At 55.0% G+C, this 18183-nt stretch overlaps 1 protein-coding gene across 14 annotated transcripts in view; it reads right to left on the bottom strand.

Moving 5' to 3' along the window:
* Positions 1-18183, bottom strand: part of DYSF (dysferlin) — a 233203-nt gene that overhangs the window by 100848 nt on the left and 114172 nt on the right. For all 14 annotated transcript variants that reach the window (NM_001130979.2, NM_001130981.2, NM_001130980.2 and 11 more), the window contains 6 exons: positions 17834-17965; positions 17578-17744; positions 15982-16096; positions 15582-15687; positions 15175-15317; positions 11545-11718 (listed from right to left, as the gene is read on the bottom strand). In NM_001130979.2, the coding sequence (NP_001124451.1) occupies positions 11545-11718; positions 15175-15317; positions 15582-15687; positions 15982-16096; positions 17578-17744; positions 17834-17965 (837 nt within the window). The remainder of the gene's footprint in view (positions 1-11544; positions 11719-15174; positions 15318-15581; positions 15688-15981; positions 16097-17577; positions 17745-17833; positions 17966-18183) is intronic.

The following is an 18183-nucleotide window of genomic DNA, read 5'->3' as shown; positions in this document are numbered from 1 at the left end:
CAAGGTCACCCTGCAAGGATGTGTTAGGTACCCCTCCTGGGCACTCCCACTTCGCCCTGAATTTCCCCAGCCACTGCACTCACCACTTTACATTGCGAGCACCCATCTGCTTGTCCCACTGAGAGCCCAGCCAGGTGCCCAGCGTGCACCCATCACCCAGCAGAGCACCTCACAGGCAGCAGGTGCTCAACACATCATTGGTGAACAAGTGAGTGAACTCACGAACAATGGGCACCTGCCTCAGGGAAAGACAACTGTGTCGGCCTTGAGGAGGGCAGATGACACAGGCCGGCCCGGTGGGGATCCGCCAATGTCATGCCTTCTTGATTTTGAAGTACATTCTGGTTTTCAGGTGTGGACATCAGCGTGGCTCAAGCTTGGGGAATTTCTCTCAAAGCAAGTAACAAGGCCTCTTGAAAACCCAATCTGGGAACTTTGGGGAAGCATCTCCCTCCCGTCAGTCTCTCCTCTGATGTGCCACCCATTTACGAAACACCTACTCTGTGCCAGGCATTGCCCATTCAAGTTGTGAAATGGCTACTGCTGCTCACGGGGCCAGTGGCACCTGCCCAGAGAGGCCATCCCTGCCCGACCTGTTGAAAATTGCATTCTAACACGCATAGCCTCACAAGCACCCACACAGGGCTACTGTGGAAAATGCACGGCTCTTCAACCTTGGCAATTGGGCCTGGAATATTCTTTGCTATGAGGCTGTCCTGTGCGTCGTAGGATGTTTAGCAGCGTCCCTGGCCTCTACCTGTTAGATACCAGTAGCATCTCCACTGAGTTACGATCACTAGAAATGTCTCCAGACATTGCCCAATGTCCCCTGTGGCCAGGTTCGGGGAAACTGTGCCCTGTAGAGAACTAGTAGTGAAAACTGAATGAAATGATACCCCACGGTCCTTGGCAGGTACCTGGTTTAACTCTTTCATCTCTCTAGGCTCTTGTTAAATAACACTCCTCTCCTCTGGCCTTCTGTAAATTTCTTGAATTCATAACCTTTCCTCTGCCACAGGGCCTTTATGCAGGGATGTCGTCCTCTCCATTTGGAATGTCTTCTCAAATGAGCTAACTCAGGCTCTTCCTTAGCTGCATCATCTCTGAGGTATGGGCACCTCCTTGGCTGCCCAGCCTTCAGCAGCAGCCCCTACCCAGCCTCTCCCAGCTTCTCCCCTGCATCTACCCTCCATGTATGCAGGCAAGACATACACACTCCTTTATCCCCTGCACCCAGTCCAACATCGAGCATGTAGTGGGCGTCCAATGAAGATTTATCACATGCAGTCAATCACCAGAATTCCCTCGCCCTAAGCCACATGTGCAGCACCCAGGCCTAAGGTCCCAGGGCAAAGGACAGGCAAGGTGCATCAGACAGCACCTCCTACCTTCAGGAAGCTCAGAGTCGGGTCTGATGTTACTATGGAAAAAGGGATTAATGTGGACTCACTTACACCCCAGGATGAGGCCATCTGTGGGGTGGGATGGAATGGGGTAGGCCTTTGGAAGCCCCTTCAGGAAGGCTTCCTGGAGGAGGGGAAGGAGGGTGCTGGAACTGGGAGAGCGGCAGCAGCACACTGGAGCCTAGAGGAAAGGCTTGGCCAGGTGGACAAGGCCAGGACAGGGAGGGCCGCTTTGCCTCTGCTCCCACTCTGAGCCCCGTGCAGAGCCAAGCTGCAGGAGAGGCTGATGCCCTGGTTTCTGCCCACCCACCCTTCACCCCCATTCACACACACACACACACACTCTTGCCCAGCCCCAGGGCCAGGCCCAGGGCATTGGGTTTCCCACAGTCACATTCCTGCCTTGATAGCTCATGCCACCGCAACTCCCAGGCTGGGGCTGGCAGCCACACGGTCTGTGGCCACGCACTCCATCTTGGGCTAGCTGTGTAAGGGATCTTGCTGCTTGTCCAGGGAACTGGGTGGCCTCCAACCCGCTGCTGCCCGGCTGGAAGCCACGGCTCCCTGGAGGAGCCTGAGCATAGGAATATGAGGAACTCTCTGCCTCCCAGAGCCACAGGGCTCCCCCAGGGGTCCCCAGAGCCAATGGCCAAACTCACCTGAGTCTGCCAAGGACTAATATCCAAGGACCACAGCCAGGAGGAGATAGTCAGGTTCTGGGGAAACACAGCCTACAAAGGGGACTCCTCAACCCACCTAAATCAGATCAGTACCAAGATCGAGCCCACCAGCATGTCTGAGATTCCTTCTGCACCACGGGGTGTCTGTGCCCTCTGTCTGCAGACCCTCTGTTTGCAATGGTGCCTTGGTCTAAACAGGGCCTAGAGTTCTGGCTCAGGATCTATAAAGTGGAGACAGTAAGGTGACAGAAGGGCCAGAGCAGGGGTGGACACAGCAACAAGTCACAGGCTAAGCAGTGAGGCTTCCTGGGGCTGAGCAGGCAGGGGAAAGCCCCACAGTGGCCAGAAAGGAAACATCTCAGGGGCCACCAGGGAGGCCACAGAGACCTTCCCTGCTCCAGCAGAGTCAAGCAGATGGGTGTGGACCAGCTGGAGGCTGGCTACCCTCCTTCACTTTATGGGGAGGACTCAACTCCTACACAGGATGGGCCTGAAGAGCACCTGTGGCAGGGCTGTTGGAAGGGGCACTACTGTTGGGGGCCATCCCCCATCTCTTATGTAAAAGGGGTCAGGGGGCCCCTCAGAGCAGCAGGTGCTGGAGTGAGCGCATGTGGTTCACGAGAGCAGATTATATTTTCAGGAATTCTGCAAGCCAGTTGTTAAACACAGCCATTAGTAAAAATTAAATCATATACATTTACCACTAAAGAAACTATATTTAAAAACTCAAGGTGGTAAATACTTGAAATCATTCTAATTTCTCTTTTTTTTTTTTTTTTTTTTTTTTTTGAGATGGAGTCTTGCTCTGTCACCCAAGCTGGAGTGCAGTGGCGCAATCACAGCTCACTGCAGCCTTAACCTCCCTGGGTTCAAGCAATCCTCCCACCTCAGCCTCCCAAAGTGCTGAGATTACAGGCATGAGCCACCACGCCTGGCCCATTCTAATTTTTGTACTACCTTTTCCCGTTATCTCTGCTCCTGAGGCTGCTTCCATCTCATGTATCTGTGATGGAAATATTATGTATCAGTGTGCTACTGCCCGTCTCTTCCCAGCTCTGTGTTCAGTGGTGCCACATTGCTAGCTTGAAATTGGTCATGGCAGGAACAGCTACACCATGGAAATCAGCAAATGCTACAAACCAGGGCTGGGGATTGTTTTGTTTTGTTTTGTTCTGGAGACCTGGTTGTTAAACATTGACCAGCACAGTTCTAGGGTGATCTTCCAGGTCTTCACCATCTTCACTCTCTTCACTATAGGCTTTGCTGGGACATCCAAATGCCAACATGATGATGTAGTGTACACTACTACAAACCCTGCACAACCCAACCATTATCCATAAAATTTTTCACAATATTCATGGGAGGAAACACAGCTAAACAATTACTACTTGGCTTCTCGGTTACCTCAGTTTGCTTAAGTGTAAAATGGAATGGGAGTGCTGACAGACCCTATCTCCTAGAACTGCTGGAAGGGTTAAATGAGATACTATGTGGACAGGGCAGAAGGCAATGGCTGGCCCACGGTACATGCCCTAGAACAGAGGTTGACAGACCTTGTCTATAAAGGGCCAAGTGCTAACTACTTTTGACTTCGTGGGCCATAGGGTCTCTGCTGCAACTGTTCGGCTGCTGTTGTAACAAAAAAGCAGCCACAGGCACTACATAGGTGAATGAGTACCAGCTATGTGCCAATAAAGCCTTTTTTTTTTTTTTTTTTTTTTTTTTTGAGACGGAGTCTCCTTCTGTCTCCCAAGCTGGAGTGCAATGGCACGATCACAGTTCACCGCAACCTCTGCCTCCCAGGTTCAAGCAATTCTCCTGTCTCAGCCTCCTGAATAATTTTTGTATTTTTAGCAGAGATGGGGTTTCACCATATTGGCCAGGCTGATCTCAAACTCCTGACCTCAGGTGATCTGCCTGCCTTGGCCTCCCAAAGTGCTGGGATTACAGGTGTGAGCCACCGGCCAATAAAGCCTTATTTACAAAAGCAGGCAGAGGGCCAGATTTGGCCTGTGGGGCATAGTTTGCTGACCCCTGCTCCATAAGAAGAGGTTATTATTTTTGTTGTGTTTTTAGCATTCCCACCTGATAAGCAAGAAAACTGGGGCCCAGAGAGGTTAAGGTCTTCCCTGGGGCTACACAGCAAATTAGCTGGCAGAACCTGGGGTCCTCCTGCCCACTCTCAAGGCTCTTCCCAGGCTCCTACTACCCCATCAGAGCTCAAAGCACCTGAGCAAAGTTCTGGAGCTACAGATGGTTGAATGCCAAGTCAGGGCTGTGGGGAACCCAGGGCCCACTTCATTTCCCTGGCTGCTCCAGCCTCAGCTTGCAGGGAAACCCCACACAGGCCAGGAGCCCAGGCCAAAGGAGGGGAACCCTTTAAAAGACAGAACGGAACACAGGAACACACAGACTCCCTTTCTAATCAGGGCTGATTGCAACCTTAAGTGGAATAGCAGGCGAGAGTGCAACCCCATTTAATTTACAGCTGGAGCCAGGGCTTGGAAGCAGCTGCTAAACTCCTTGCAAAACTACTGGCTGGCCCCTGGGGAGCTGAGGGTGGAATCAGGAAACCTGGAGAATCCACGATGCCACGTGTGGGCTGGCGCGAGCGTGTATGCGTGTGTGCTTGTCCCTCTAGGGTTTCCATGTCTCCACATGCGGATGTTGCAGAGAACACTGGAGCAGGTTTCATCCCACGCCAGGGTGCCTTGGTAATTAGGACAACTCTATGGCCCAGTTTGCCTGGAATGGTCCTACTTACGCCTGCTTTTCCAGTGTGATTATTAATAGTGTTCCAGACTGGACAGTAAATTATATGGTCACTCTAGCAATGACAGATGAAGACCCTCATGCATGTACAATGACCCACATGGGTGATACTCAACACATGTGCCCAACTGTAACACACTCCTCTGCAGCCATGAATCTGGGCGCTGGCATTTTGCCTGAGGCACATGGACACGCAATCGAATCCTCCAGACCTTGGGGTTCAAATCTTGAGCGAGACAGATGCAGGGTCCACGCATTTAGAGTTACCCAAATTGTCCCCTACTGAGGGGCAGTAGGAAGAGCAGCGAGGCCTCTGCTTGAGAGGAGATCCAGCCCTCAAGCCGCCCATGCTAGCACAATGCCAGGTATAGAACAGGTGCTCAACGTGAATATTCAAGAAACAGAGTCCAGAGATCCACAGAGCTGCCTTTCAACACCCCAGCCCCAGCCCCAGCCATAGGTCTTGTTTCCTAATGAGGTAAACCCCTCGCACCTCCCAGGGCCTGCCCTTGCTCACAGTGCCAGCTCTGGGAACCAAGCCTGGGTCCCCTGCCCACAGCATGGCTTCCTTCAGGCGCAGAGCCGCCCCTCCCTCCCCATCCACATCTGACCTCCTTTTCAGCCAGCTCAAGACCCAAATTACTCCTCTCTGGAACCAGCCTTTCCCTGACCCACATCCCTGCACTTCTGACTCCCAACTGGCCTTGCCTCGCCGGCCCAGGCTTGAGCTGCCTGTCTCTGAGGGTCCTCTCTACTGCAGTCGGGATGCTGGCCTCCACCAACCCTCTGGAGGTTTCCCAGGGTTGGGGCCGGGGGGCCAGCTCCTCTCTAGCTGCCCGACTGCCCCAGGACTGCCAAGCTGCCTGGCTATCAGGTGAGGAGAAGCCTGCCCAGGGCAGAGGCCTCTAGCCAGCAGCATCCAATCCTCCCACCCTGGGACCCCACCACAAAGGGACTCCATGGAGCAGGAGAGACATGATGCCCTCATAGAAGTGGGGGAATGAAAGCGCCAGATGGGGTTTGGCTGCTGGTCAGGGGACACCTGGAGAGAGGGGCAGAAGAGCCACTGCCTGGACCTTGGTTAAGCACTGACTCGTGCTGTGCTGCTGGACATCCCCACTCAGGCCTCTTCCAAGGTGACATTAGGGCTCGGAGTCATTCCAGAGCAGCACTGTCCAGCAGACCTTCCTGCAATGATCAAACCGTCAATGGCTGCACTGCCCAATGTGGTAGCTGGCCACTCGGCAGGTGTGGCTACTGAGCACTGGAAATGTGGCCTGTCTGATTGGGGAATCAAATTTTCTTATTCTGATTACTTTAACTGTAAACTTAAGTAGCCACCCACGGCTAGTGGCTACTGTGTGGGAGAGTGCAGCTCTAGAGCCTCAGTCTCCCCAACTGTAAAATGGGGCTAATAATAGAATCCAGCCTTCTGGGGTCACTATGAGATGACGCATATAAAGCCTGGTTTTTAGCACGTGGTAAAGTGAATATTAATAATTCTTATCCTCTATGGGGTCCTGGATCCCCTGGAGCATTGGATAAAACCATGGCCCTTACACCAGATCATACATGCGTGCGTACACATGCACAACTTTCCATCCAATATCAAGATGCTCCTACAGCTCCCAAGGCAGATCAGGCACGCCTTTAGAAAATGAAAGTTTCTTCCAGCAGCAAAAATCTCCAAGACTCTGAGCACACGTTGCCGACGTTTCTGTCCCTCCCCTCCCTGCCAGGCCCAGGCATCTCAGAGAACCTTTCCCAACACTCAAGCCAAGCACAGAGGCAGGGCTTGGAAAAATCCTCGATCATGGAGGGCAGGCCCAGGGCAAGGGCAACAGGATGGATTCTGTGAGCTCATCCCGGCAGCCGTCACCAGAGTTCCCAGAGAGGCCGGTGGCGTCAGGAGGGGGTGACTGGGTGGGAGGCGGCGGTGGTGGCTGCTGTGGCCACAGGGGGTGTGGGGTGGAGAGGGAGGCTGGATGGAACGCGCTATAATAGCGGCTTTGTGCTCTGCTTCCCAGCTCCCTGGGAACGCCAGGAAGATTATGAAACCCGGTGTCTTTGGAAATGCCAGGATATTAGCTGGAAAAAGAATAATACGAAAATAAAATAATGCTCGGGATGGAGACAGCAGACGATTAGCAGACGGAGCCAGGGCCTCCCGCTCCGTGGAAGGAGCCAGGCTTGGCCCCTGCAGAAGGTTTCAGGGAAAGGCTGCCCGTGCTAATGAGCAGACAGGGCCTGCCTTCCAACAAGACGTCTTCCAGAGGGGAGCTGGCAGGCAAGGCCCAGCTCGCTGGTGGACGTGTTGGGTCAGGGAAAAGGTGGCAGGAGGCAAGGGGGCACCACAGACCTGGTCCAGAACTGTCAGATTACCAGCAAGGCTACCTGGCTTCCACCCACGGTCTTTCCCCAGCCCCTGCAAGGCCTGCCTCCCAACATCCTTCTTCAAGAAGCCTCCCCTCATTAGACACTGCCACTCTGGAATGACTCTTATTCTACCTCCAACACTTCAAAGACGCAGATTCTAGGGGTTTAGTTGCACTCACATGTGAACATCTCTCTTCTTGATCAGACAGGAGTTCCCCATGAGCCAGGCCTCCACCATCAGATCAGGGGATCATTAGAAGTAAAGACCACATTTCCCCCACCAAGCAGCAGGGAGAACATGTCATCTTGCCATACCTCCCTCTCCAGGACCCTGGCCACACACCTCCCAGCAGGAATGCACATGCTCTGCCTCTCTCAGAAGGGCACCCAAGTAGGGGGCCAATGGGAGCCCCATCTTGATGAGGCACTTTGTACTTCACATCTGTGCTACTCCGAGATGGCCCCTGGACCAGCAGCATCAGCATCATGTGGAGGCTTGTTAGACACAGAGATTCTCGGGGCCCACCAGACCCTGAATCAGAGTCTGCATTTTAACAATATCCCCAGACGGTGCCTGCTTTTGCTAAGTCTGAGAAGTGCTTCACTACATGCATCGTCATTCATCCTTAAAATGGCCCTGGGATTCAGTTACTTGCACGAGTGAGGTAACAGAGTTGCTAATGGCATGAGTGACCCGTCCACAGCTAGTAAGCAGGGAAAGCAGAATTCAAGCCACAGAGGCCTCACCCATCCCACCAATGAATCACCAGGCATCAGGGACCCGTGGGCAAAGACCAGCTCTCAGGACAGAAGCCGGGTCCTAGCACCCAGAAAATCCAACCACCTTCCCCAGGAGGCAGGGAGGACCTTAGCCCCAGTGCTGTGCTGGGGCATCAGGACATCCCGGGACAAAGACAGCAGCTCAGCAGCGGGAGCCCAAACCATTCTGGGTCCCAGCAGGAAGACGGAAACGTGACTGTGGAGGGGGAGTGTGAGTGTGAAAGAGTGTGTGTGGGTGCGTGTGCATATGATTGTGTATGTGTGAGTGTAAGAGAGTGTATGTCAGAATGTGTGTGTGTCTATGTGTTGGTGTGTATGAGTGTGTTGGTGTGTGTGAGGGTATGTGTGTGATTGTGTACGTGTTAGTGTGAGAGTGGGGGGGCTGCATGAGAGTGGGGCTGTGTGTGTGTGTTGGTATATATGGGAGTGTGTAGAGAGTGTGTTGGTGTGTGTGAGGGTATGTGTGAGAGTGTGATTGTGTAGGTGTTAGTGTGTATGGGTGTTAGTGTGTGGGGGTGTTGTATGAGTGTGTATGTGTGCGTTAGTGTGCTTATTGGTGTGTATGAATGTGTGGAGAGAGACTGTGTTGGTGTGTGTGTTCGTGTAACAGAGTGTGTTGTGTATGAGTGGAAAGAGTGTGTGTGTTGGTGTGTATGAGTGTGTGTTGGTGTGTGTGCTGGTGTGTAAGACAGTGTGTGAGTGTGTGTCACTCAGGTATAGAGTCTTCCAGACAGTCAAGTGGGCCTGTGGCCCCGTCCAAATGCCAGACACACCTAAACCTTCCAAAACTCTCTGGTCCTCCAGCTGCAGGTCTGTGGGATCTGCCCTCTGAAGCCACCGCCTCCCTTTCTGGTTCTCTCTGCCAGCCAAGCTGTCCCAGGACTCGGGGCTTTGCCACTTTGGTCTCTTCCATGTATCATAGGCAAGTCACAGGTGAATTACAATCCATCACCCGCCCATGGCTGCTGACTTCACGCCTAGTTTCAGTGATCCCTCAGGACAGTCTCTTCCACAAGAAGAATACGCAGATCGGTCTCTCTGCTTCTGGGAAGTGCCCCCCCTCATTCTCCCAGGCGCTGAGCCATGAAAGCTTGGCCTGGGTCCCCCAGCCTTGTCACTTTCTTCCTCCAGGCCCTAGCCAGCCCCAGGGTCCATCCACGCTTTGTCCACGTGTCTCCAGTCACCTCTTCCCCACTCCCGGCCCCCTCGGCTCCCCGCTCCAGCCTTCCTGCCCTGGGCCGCCTGGCAGGCAGCCGTCAGCTCTGTCTCCCTCACACAGCACTTCACCGTGTGTGTCAGCCTTGCCAGGGCCAACCGTGAACTCATCACAGCCCGCCCCACCCCGCCCTGCGGCCTGGCAACCACAGGGTCCCCACTGTCCACCTCTGGCCCTTCCCTCCCCAAACCCTTCAGTCCCACCTCCCTCCACCTCAGCCCCACGGCCTCACGCCAGGTGGTCACCTCTCCTGGATCTCTACACAAGACTCCTGGGGTTTCCTGATGGGAGGCTCTGCCTCCCAAGCATCCTCCATGGCTGCTTGACTGATGGTCCTAAAGCCTAGCTCTGACCAGAGCACTCTTCTTGTCAACAACTCATACTGGCTCCCTACTGCTCTGGTCACCGTCTGGACCATCTGGAGCTCTTTGCCCAACATTGCTTTGGTTTTTGTTTTTTGTTTTTGTTTTCAGAAGCTCCTCTCCCCAATCTGGTGGCACTGTCAATCACAGAGAAGGGGCATGGCCCATGCCGGCCAATCAGAACGCTCCATCCCTCACCCAGGTGCAGGGGCTGGCTGGGCACCACCAGGCTGAGCTGGTCAGTCATGCCGAAGACTTCACTGACATTACTGAGAAGGCAGCACTCAGGGGTCTCCAGCTGCATGGAAAACAGAGTGTGGCGCTGTGGGCTGGGCTACTTTATCTAGCAGGACTTTGCTGGCTGGAGGGATGATGTTGGCCTTTCGTCACCAGCAGCATCTTTGCTACCACACAGAGAGAGCCCGTGTGAGACAAGGCCAAGACAGGGGTGCGAGTCCTGGGGACACTGTATGAACCTGTTTCCTGCCAGGCCTAATGCCTGCTTCACCTCTCGGGTTCTTCCCAGCTCTGTGAGCCCACAAACCACTTTTCTTCTCAGCCCCTTTGAGTAGAGCTCTGGCTGATGAAAACAGATCCTGATTACACAGGGTGCTTTCCTGGCCTTCTCAGACCTGGCCCTGACTCTGAGGCCTGCCAAGGTCTTTATACCCCACCCCTCAGCTAGAGCCGCAGGATCATCACCAGCCCCTGCCCAGTGCTCAGGCCAGGCCCTTTCTGACTCAAAGCAGAGGGGGCCACAGAACACCAGCCCCACCCCAGAAGGCTCCCCAGCTGCTCTGACCTGGGCAGCAATTCCATCCTATCCTGCCCGACCCTGGCCGGAAGACCAGTCCATAGCCCAGAGAGCCGAGAGCTCTGCTATCTCCCCTCAGCCTCCCCTTGACCTGGCCCCAGGGCAAGGGAGGGGCTCTCTCCGAAGCCTATGGCAGGCTCCTCTGACGTCCTCAGGCCCCCAGAGAGCTTCCTCTCCTATACTGCCACTGTTGGGCCTTGCCCACCATCGAGGCCTGAGACTGACAGAGCCTCCCCAGCCCACCCACTCCCTCTCAGGGCCACTGCTGGCTTCACCTCCCTGCCAGTGGCCAGCCCAACAGATCCTGAGCCACCCCACAGCACTCCTCCAGCCTTCAAAGCCAGGCTGTCCTACAGATAGGTGCCCAGCCTGACCCCAACCACACAGCTGGCTTCACATGGACACCCTCACGTCCCATGGGGCTTGCTCCCTAGGGCCCCAGCCCAAACCCCTAGGGAGGTGCCAGTCCTGGCTGGATTTCAGAGGGAGCAGCTCCTTCCCCAGAGCAGCAGAGTGGGGACTGGCTGTGTGCCAGTACCGAGTGCTCGCTCAGACTGTCCCCGAGACACCTGCTCGTCTCTTTTGGGGAGCCCGTCACCCCGGCCCTGGAGAACCTTGAGCCTACCCCAGTTCCACTGGCTACAGAAAGCGCACCCTGGGCAGGAAAGTCATCCTGGGGCTCAGCTTCTAAGGCACACCTCTTCCCCAAAATTGCTGGGGATGACCATGAGATGGTCTCTGCCTCAAGAGGATGCACATGCAACCAAGGACACTCTGGGGCCACAAGAACTCTCTCACTCCTCCCATGGGCCTCCTCGCCCATCTTCACACCAGCCAGCCAGGCACAGGCCAGCCAGACGGCCAAGGCCATCTTCCCCTCTGCTTTCATCTTGACACCTCAAAGTAGTAGCAGCAAGTGTTTCAGTGCCAAGGAAGGAGCTTTTTCATTTTAGAAGAACACCCAGACTGGGGCTGCTTTCCCCACATGCCACCCCACAGGTACTGACGCCAGGATGACCAGCCAGCGTTCCATCCAAAAGTCCTAACCTGGGGTCCCTGTGCCTCTCCCACATCAGCCCGAACAGCCCTGGGAAACCAAGATATACCCTACCCAAGCCAGGACAAGTGCAGCCCCACATACCAGGGCCCCCTCAAGGGCAAACACAGCTGCAGGCCCCGTCTTCTCCAGTGGCTCCATGCGACGGCGCCAGCGGCGGCGGCGGAAGGCATCTGTCTTGCGGTACTCGAGGTGGAACTTCCAGCCAAAAAGAGAGGCGTACTCCCAGCCCTCGCCCTCCGCCTCCGCCTGCCTGTGCTGCACAAGAGAAGGGGCAGACTCAGAGGCCGGTGGGAAGGCTGGGGGGAGTTCTGTGCTCGGCTCCACCTTTGCCTTCCTGTCTTCCATGACAACTCCCCACCAGCTCCCACACTAGTGCCCTCCAGGTGGGAAAACCTGGGAGGGCCACCTAGAGGAGAGGGGCTTTCTGCAGCCACAGGAACCCCAGGTCAGAAAATCAGGAGGGGAGGCCAGGCATGGTGGCTCATGTCTGTAATCCCAGCTACCAGGGAGGCTGAGGCAGGAGAATTGCTTGAACCTGGGAGGTGGAGGTTGCAGTGAGCCGAGATTGCGCCACTGCACTCAAGCCTGGGTGACAGAATGAGACTCCATCTCAAAAGGAAAAGAAAAAAAGAAAAAAGAAAAAGAAAAATCAGGAGGGGAGAGGAGGCTCCATGGGCTGCGGGAAGAACCAAACAGCCAGAAAGGAAGGTAGGCTGACGCAGTGACGAAAACACTGGGCTTTTAACTTGCTTATTTGTTTGAATTCTGGGTGGATTTCATGAATCCAAAGTTTTCTTGTCATTTCCTTTTTCATCTTCACATCCTGTAGTGGGTCTGCAGCTCAGAGGTAAAAGGAAGATCCTATTTCCCAACCACAGCCAATTTCACCCCTGGGAGCTAGACCCAACTCAGCTATGGAGGCACCCCTGTACCTCGTTCATGGGGTCCCTTTCCTGGGCCTGAAGGGAGTCCCGGGAGCCCCCTTGCCATTCAGCTCCTGGGAGAGGGTGACCTGGCACTGTTGTCAGACACCACCTCAGGTCTGGGCCAGGAGCACAGTGACAAGGGCCAGTCCTGGAGGCCAGCTGTGCCACTCTCCAGGAAGGATGCTGGCTGTGGGGTGGTGGGCAAGGCACATGAGCCTGGGCAGGCTTTGCCTCTGTCTGCTGGGTGCCCCTTCAGGGAGAAAGTTGAATCTGTCTGGTTCACAGCACCAGGAACAGCTGGTTGTCCAAAAGCCTTGCCCCTCCCTGGAGCCAGCAAGAGTCCTCTCTAGGTTCTCTGCCCCCAAGGAGAAAGGAAGGAACCTAGGTCATGCCACAGGCTACTCCTGGACTAAGGGAGGTCTGGTTCTTGAGCCAAAATTCAAATGTGTGTTTAGGAAGGAAGATCATAGACCAAGAAGGTCCAGGACAGGCGGGCACAGAGGCTGTGCAGTGCACAGGCCCCTGTGTGACCCCGGAGCAAGTGCATGTGCTTGCGTGTGCTCATCCATGTGCACGATGGGCCTGACAGTATCCCATGGCATCTGTGCTCAACTGTGGGCATGTGTGCTTGCATTGCATGAATGCCAACGGGGCCCACCCCAGCCCCCTCACCAGCCAATGTACACGTGTGGCGCACCCATCCCCAGCTGCCATCAGCATCGACAGCTCCCAGCTCCCAGAAGCCACCTGCTCCAGGGAACCCCCATGCTAAAGGAAACCCCCTCACTGAAGAGATAGGTATGTGCCCCAGCTCACCCCAGCAACCCCAAGCCTAGACAGATGGCTGAGAGGATACAAAGCCCAGCCCTGCCTCCAGGTGAGGATTCTGTGGTGTTCCGAGTTGTGAACTTCCCCAGGCCACAGCTCAGGCCACAGCTGACCTGCCTGAAGCTGCATCCTTGCTCCTCACACTCCCGAGGGCACTGCCCCAATAATGTGCAGCCAAATCTACGTCTTAGCTTCTGCCTCCAGGAAACCCAGCCTAAGACAAAGTCCATGGGTGTCTTTCCATCTTCCAGGTTGGTGTGTGAACTTTGCATGTGACCTTCTGTAATCATGGGCATCTGAGTGTGTCTGTCTATAAGCATCTGTGGGTGTGCTGGGTGTGATCTGTGCTGGGTGTGATCTGTGGGTGTGCTGGGTGTGATTTCTGTGTGCTGGGTGTGATCTGTGGGTGTGCTAGGTGTGATCTGTGCTGGTTGTGATCTGTGGGTGTGCTAGGTGTGATCTGTGCATGTGCTGGGTGTGATCTGTGCTGGGTGTGCTGGATGTAATCTGTGCTGGGTGTGCTGGGTGTGATCCATGCTGGGTGTGATCTGTGGGTGTGCTGGGTGTGATCTGTGCTGGGTATGATCTGTGGGTGTGCTGGGTATGATCTGTGGGTGTGCTGGGTGTGATCTGTGTGTGTGCTGGGTGTGATCTGTGGGTGTGCTAGGTGTAATGTGTGTGTGCTGAGTGTGATCTGTGCTGGGTGTGCTGGATGTGATCCATGCTCGGTGTGATCTGTGGGTGTGCTGGGTGTGATCTGTGTGTGATCTGTGCATGTGCTGGGTGTGATCTGTGTGTGTGCTGGGTGTGAGCTGTGTGTGCTGGGTGTGATCTGTGTGTGGTGGGTGTGATCTGTGCATGTGCTGGGTGTGATGTGTGTGTGCTGGGTGTGAGCTGTGTGTGCTGGGTGTGATCTGTGTGTGTGCTGGGTGTGATCTGTGTGTGCTGACTGTGATCTGTGTGTGTGCTGGGTGTGATCTGTGTGTGCTGACTGTGATCTGTGCATGTGCTGGGTGTGATCTGTGGGTGTGCTGGGTGTGATCTGTGTGTGATCTCTGCATGTGCTGGGTGTGATCTGTGTGTGTGCTGGGTGTGAGCTGTGTGTGCTGGGTGTGATCTGTGTGTGGTGGGTGTGATCTGTGCGTGTGCTGGGTGTGATGTGTGTGTGCTGGGTGTGAGCTGTGTGTGGTGGGTGTGATCTGTGCGTGCTGGGTGTGATGTGTGTGTGCTGGGTGTGATCTGTGTGTGTGCTGGGTGTGATCTGTGTGTGCTGACTGTGATCTGTGTGTGCTGGGTGTGATCTGTGTGTGCTGACTGTGATCTGTGCATGTGCTGGGTGTGATCTGTGGGTGTGCTGGGTGTGAGCTGTGCGTGTGCTGGGTGTGCTAGGTGTAATCTGTGTGTGCTAGGTGTGAACTGTGGGTGTGCTGCATGTGAACTGTGGGTGTGTTGGGTGTGATCTGTGTGTGCTGAGTGTGAACTGTGGGTGTGTTGGGTGTGATCTGTGTGTGTGTGCTGGGTGTGATCTTTGGGTGTGCTGGGTGTGATCTGTGCATGCGCTGGGTGTGATCTGTGGGTGTGATCTGTGTGCTGGGTGTGATCTGTGTGTGTGCTGGGTGTAATCTGTGTGCTGGGTGTGATCTGTGTGTGTGCTGGGTGTAATCTGTGTGTGTGCTGAGTGTGATCTGTGGGTGTTCCCAGTGTGATCTGTGTGCTGGGTGTGATCTGTGTGTATGCTGGGTGTGATCTTTGGGTATGCTGGGTGTGATCTGTGTGTATGCTGGGTGTGATCTTTGGGTATGCTGGGTGTGATCTGTGAGCACCTCCAGTGAGTCCCAGGTGTCTGTGCATGCTGTGTGCACACATGCATGTGTCTGTGGGCATGCAGGTCTGCATCTGTGCCTACTGGCCACCTGTGACCACAGGCCTCACTCCCACCCACCACCTGCTGGCTCACCCTTTTCAGTGCTTCCATTTGGCTGAGATCCCTCCTGCGCAGGCGCACCCAGCGCCGCCGTCGGTGTGTGTAGTACATCTTCTCAGCAGGGACCCAGTGCTTCGGCTTCCGCTCCGGGGGGATGGTGATGCTATACTCCCAGCCTGGGGGAGGGGGAACCGGTCACTCATTGCTTGGCAGTTCCCCCCATCTCTCCTGGGACCATCTCTGAATTTGGGGCATGGTCACAGACTCTTGAGCGGCCACTGACTCTCGGTCCTAATTTGCAGCTTGGAGTGGGGGGTGCCTTCAAGAAGCGTCCCTGGGTGAAATAGCCCAGTGAAGGGCCCTGGCATTCAGTCGTCCCCACCAGCATGGCTTGAGAGCTTGCCGGGGATGGGGCTCGCCAGGTTCCACATGCTGCCCACCTTGCTCATCGACAGCCCGGTTGAGGTCTGTGGACCATTCCTCATCTTCCCACTTCCAGCCCAGTGGGCACTCAATGTCATCCTTGGGAAGCACCTTCTCCCCGTTCTAAGGACAAAACCGAACAGGCAAGCAATGAGAGGAGACAGACAGATGTGAGCAGGGAGGCAGAAAAGATGCAACTTGACAACATACGTCCTCCAAGTCCCAGACAGAAGGGCAGAGCCCCAGAGTCAGTGTCCTGCCACCACTGCACCCCACACTTTCCCTTTGGAAATCAAAGCATGAAGTCTCCGGAGGTAAGAGGGGGCAAAGAGAAACATGCCCCACCTGTCCCTGAGCACCAGGTGCCTCCAGAGACCAAATGTCTAGACCCCACCTGCCCCTGAGTGCCTGCTTTACCACATCGGTGTAGTTGTCACTCATGTAGATCCACTGGCCTCCGGGAAGCCGGGTCTGGTTCTCAAACACCTCTTCCACGAAGCTCAGGTGACCGGCGTCCATGTCATGGAGCAGACTGTGGAGGAGGGCTGGTCAGAGTCTCTGCTGCTCTGCTGGAGAGGCCCCCATCCATCTACCACCTCCTGGAGAGCACCCCTGCGTATGTCAGCCTCACCCCAACCAACAATGAGAGACATGGGGGGTGGGGAGGGAAGGGTGCAAGAGACCAAGGCAGACAGTGAAAAGGAGACCTAGGGACACTCCGAGATAATCGGGGACAAAAGAGCACATCACCCAAGATAAAGAGAAAAGGGGGCCAACTGAAGACAGCAAAAGGAGGATGGGCAGTCGAGGCTTGATGGATAGTTGTAAAAATATAAAGTTTTATCAAGTTGTGCTCATAAGATTTGAGTGCTTGACTGTATAATATGTTATACTTCAATTTTTTTAAGTAAAAAAAAGTTAAACACCACAGAGTTGAATGCCAACCAAACAGGAAAAGGAGAGGAGAGAGAGGCAAAGGCGGCAATAGACATGGAGAAGGACCACGTGGATCTGAGAGGGACTGACAGAGAAAGGACCACTCAGGGGATGTGTGAGCAGCCCAGACACGAGAAGGGTTCACGTGCAGAGGAGGTGATGGGCTTGTCCTGGGTGTCTTTGAGGATGGGGCCACACCCAGTGGGCACCACACAGAACGAAGGCTTAAGAATAAAGGCCTGGGCCAGGCGCGGTGGCTCAAGCCTGTAATCCCAGCACTTTGGGAGGCCGAGGCGGGTGGATCACCAGGTCAGGAGATCGAGACCATCCTGGCTAACATGGTGAAACCTCGTCTCTACTAAAATACAAAATAAAATTAGCTGGGCGTAGTGGCAGGCAGCTGTAGTCCCAGCTACTCAGGAGGCTGAGGCCGGAGAATGGCGTGAACCCGGGAGGTGGAGGTTGCAGTGAGCCGAGATCGCGCCACTGCACTCCAGCCTGGGCGACCGAGCGAGACTCCGTCTCAAAAAAAAAAAAGAGAGAGAATAAAGGCCTGGCCAGGCGTGGTGACTCAAGCCTGTAACCCCAGCACTTTGGGAGTTCAAGGAGGGAGAATCACTTGAGCCCAGGAGTTCAAGACCAGCCTGGGCAACACAGTGAGACCCTGTCTCTACAAAAAATTTAAAAATTAGCCAGGCATGATGGCGCACGCCTGTGGTCCCAGCTACTCAGAAGGCAGGAGCAGGAGGATCACCTGAGGCCAGGAGGTTGAGGCTGCAATGAGCTGCGATCATGCTACTGCACTCCAGCCTCCAAACAGAGTGAGACTCTGTCTCAAAAAAAAAAAAAAATTTTTTTAATGAAAAGAATAAAGGACTGTCTGACCATCCAAGCCCTTCTGGAAAGGACTGCTGCCTGGCAAGCCTCAGTCCTGGGAGAGTTCAGCGGAAGTTCCTATGACCAGCGCAGGAGCAAGCAGAGGGATCAACAGACCCCAGCCTGCCTCCAAAAGGAGGGTGCAGTCCATGGTGGGCAGCCTGGCCTGGCTCTCCCCAGCCCTCCCTGCCCACGACTCACGTCTTCTCCGGACACACGAACCAATCTCCAGCCCAGGTCCAGCCGGCCGAGGGGCGGAAGCTGTCCTTGGGTAGCTTGATCTTGCCCGTGACGTCAGAAAACTTGGGGTAGGTGAGGCCCGTTGTGCCCCAGTTCCCAACAAGGGCCAACTTAGTCTCGTTCTCATACTGGAGGGCCAGGAAGAATGAGGCGTGAGCAGGGGGCCAAGGCAGCTCCAGGTAGTGGGAGGCAGAGGTGGGGGCTGGCAGGTACTCACGGTTTCAGCAAAGACAGACAGCTTCCCCTCAGCAAACTGGTTGAACTCCTTCTCATCCACTGAGAGCCCAAACCACAGCTTGACCCGTATCTGCACTGGCATCCGGGCGCCAGGCACCTTCTCCATCGGATACTGGGTACCAGAGAAGGACAGAAACCCACAGTCCCCTTCAGGATCCGGATGTCCCAGTGAGAGGCTGGGGAGGAGGAGTCCTCCAAGCCTGGGTAGAGCAGGCTGACACCCTCACTGGGAGTGTCCCCTGTGGGAGCGCTTACCAGAATTGCATAGAAGGGGAGTGTGCAATTAAGAAACGTCCACCCCACCCCCTACCCCTCACCAAGATTCCTCCC

Source organism: Homo sapiens, chromosome 2 (genome assembly GCF_000001405.40).
Source record: "Homo sapiens chromosome 2, GRCh38.p14 Primary Assembly".
NCBI classification, from domain to species: domain Eukaryota; kingdom Metazoa; phylum Chordata; class Mammalia; order Primates; family Hominidae; genus Homo; species Homo sapiens.
The sequence above is the reverse complement of the archived record's forward strand: the minus strand, read 5'-3'. Positions and strand labels throughout refer to the sequence as shown.